Source organism: Homo sapiens, chromosome 19, assembly GCF_000001405.40.
Source record: "Homo sapiens chromosome 19, GRCh38.p14 Primary Assembly".
Lineage (NCBI taxonomy): Eukaryota > Metazoa > Chordata > Mammalia > Primates > Hominidae > Homo > Homo sapiens.
The window spans coordinates 56311857-56314619 of NC_000019.10; the positions used below are offsets into that span (position 1 = coordinate 56311857).

Below are 2763 nucleotides of genomic sequence, written 5' to 3' on the forward strand. Positions count from 1 at the left end.
GTTGTTCACCCCTATGTGTTCACGTGTTCTAAATAAGATAATATTTCTAAAACACACTGCCTGGCACATAGTTCTCAATTAATGTATTGTTATTATCTAGGGCAGTGTTATCCAATAAAAATCTGTGAGCCACACTTATTTCACACTTCCTACTAGCCCAGAAGCCCGGTAAAATCAATTTGAATAATATGTACGATTTAATTCAATATATCCAAGATACATTTCAACATGTAGTCAATAAAAAAAATTATTAATGAGATCAGTTATATCCTTCATTTTGTATGAAGTCTTTGAAATCCATTGTGTATTTTTCACTTATGGCACATCTCAATTTGAATGCTAAAATTGATCTGCAATTATATTTTCTAACATTTATAGTTAAAGAGTAGATCCACATATCCAAGTTGTTCCAAACAGGGTTAAAGGTTGTCTGATAACTGAACCAAGTATCAATTTAAAATTTTTCATTAAAATTAAAAAAACTTTACAAGTCAGTTCCTGCCCATAATCCAAGTCTAGTCATAAGCAAGCATCATACAATTCCAAATGGAGGGACATTTTACAGAACACCTAGTCCGTACACCTCAAAACTGTCAAAATCATTAAAAACAAGGAGAGTCAGACACACTGCTGCAGATCAGAGGAGGGCAGGAAGACATGGCAACTAAATGTCATGTGGTGTCCCACATGTGACCCCAGCACAGGAAAAGGACGTTAGAGAAAAAACTGGGGAAATGTGAATAAAGTCTGGCGTTAACAGTACTGTAGCAATGTTACGGTTCTGACATATCTACTAGGCTTATATAAGATGTTAACAGTAGTGGCAGTGGGGAAGGGGTACATGAGAATGCTCTGTACTGTATCATTGCAACTTTTCTGTAAATATAAAATTATCCCAAAATTAAAAATGTAAAATAAAAAATATTCCACTCTTCAGCTGCACTTATCTTACGTGTTTGTGTCCCCATGTCCTCCTCTGTTAAATGGGGATGTAGACTGCACCTATTTCATACAGTCATCGTGGGAATTAAAGATGGTGTTTCCACAGAAATCCTGCAACCATAGTTCAGGCATTGTCAGCACACCATGCTTGTTAGCGCCAGTTACTGTTACTGCTGCTGCTATGATTATGATTGTTTATTTGTAAGTGCAGAGGTCTGGGCTCCCATCTCCAGACATTCTGACTGAGTTGATATGGCTGTGTTTGCATAACAGCTCATAGGAAGCTCTTGTCTTTTCTTACAGCAACTCATGTGCAAACAGGGCTGATCCTTTAAAATGTAATAAAGAAACTGCTAAAAGCCACGGAAACCACCCAGTAAGTTGATGACAGACAGATGGAAGATGTATTAGTCTGTTTTCACGCTGCTGATAAAGACATATCCAAGACTGGGCAATTTACAAAAGAAAGGTTTAATGGACTTACAGTTTCACGTGGCTGGGGAGGCCTCACAATCATGGCAGAAGGTCAAAGGCACGTCTCACATGGCAGCAGACAAGAGAAGAGAGCTTGAGCAGGGAACCTCCCCTTTATAAAAAACCATCAGATCTCGTGAGACTTATTCACTATCACAAGAACAGCATGGGAAAGACCTGCCCCCATGATTCAATTACCTCCCACGGGGTCCCTCCCACATGTGGGAATTCAAGATGAGATTTGGGTGGGGACACAGCCAAACCATATCAGAAGAGAATGCCAATCCCTCCGTAGGTAAGTTAGGCAAAAATGATGTATTTTATTTTGGTGGAACCCAGTAGTAACTAATTTTTAAACTAGCTTTATAAATTCTTTTATCATTAGGAGGTTTCATACGCTAACCAGATGATTATATGTCCAGGTGCTTGATGTTAGTTTTTTGTAACTTCTCCTGGATACCATTAATGGCCTTTGTACATTTAATTATCCCTTCCCTTTGATGATGGGAGTGCTCTTAAATTTGATGTAAAATGAAGTTAATGTGTCAGATCATGTCCAGACATTCATATCAGATTTCAATCATCTGGTGAGAGTTTACTGGGTGACCAAGTTATGGGAAGGTATAGAAGAGTGTTCAGGAAAACTTTTAGGGCAGCAGTTCTCAGTAGGCTGACTTCAGCCCCCAGGGGACATTTGGCAATGTCTGGAGACATTTTTGGTTGTCACGACCAGGAGCTAGGGGCTGGAGAGAATTTTTCCTGGCATCCAGTGGGTGAGGTGAGGGAAGATCCTCAATATCCTACCACGCACAGGGCAGCCCCCCACAACAAAGCAATGTCTGTCCCCAGTGTCAATAACCCTGGTATTGAGAAACTCGGTAAGGTCTGAGGCCATTCAGCTGTTGAGCTCACTGCTGTCTCCTTGGCCACTAGCACTTATTCGGCTCTCAGTGAATGAATGAATGCACAGCACGAACCTGTAATCAAGGACCAAGCGAACTGCGGGAGGCAGGGTTGCTCCTGAGAGCAAACAGTGACCTAGTTAACCTGGCGACAGGCGTGAAAGGAAGTCTGGGTTTCCAATCAAAAATCGGGAGGGAAGGAAAAAAGAGTGAATCAATTCTTGCGAAAAGTCTCTGCGCACTTACTAGAAAGCACGCGGCCAGGAATCATGCAGGGCGCCTGCACGCATATTATTATTTAAATAAAGCTGTCCCTCAGCACAAACAGCCCGCAAGGTCACGGAAACTCCTCCAGTCCCATCCCCGGGCTCGGTCCTCCCACGAATCTCCCCCTCCTCCCACGTCCCCGCCCCAGGCGCATGCGCCCTCCCTCTCCCCAACCCAC

General features: G+C 42.2%; 1 protein-coding gene across 21 annotated transcripts in view; it reads right to left on the reverse strand.

Annotated features, from left to right (window-relative positions):
• The window catches only part of ZSCAN5A (zinc finger and SCAN domain containing 5A), a 146976-nt gene that overhangs the window by 90554 nt on the left and 53659 nt on the right, over positions 1–2763 (reverse strand). For 11 of the 21 annotated variants that reach the window (NM_001322078.3, NM_001322077.3, NM_001322073.2 and 8 more), the window contains exon 2: positions 1427–1528. The exons of 1 other annotated variant lie outside the window; for it this stretch is intronic. In NM_001322078.3, coding sequence (NP_001309007.1) covers positions 1427–1459 — 33 coding nt within the window. In that variant the 5' untranslated portion in view covers positions 1460–1528. Of the gene's footprint in view, positions 1–1426; positions 1529–2393; positions 2490–2564; positions 2707–2763 lie in introns of those variants that run through there. 9 more of the 21 variants (NM_001322076.2, NM_001322070.2, NM_001322075.2 and 6 more) reach the window with 3 other exon arrangements.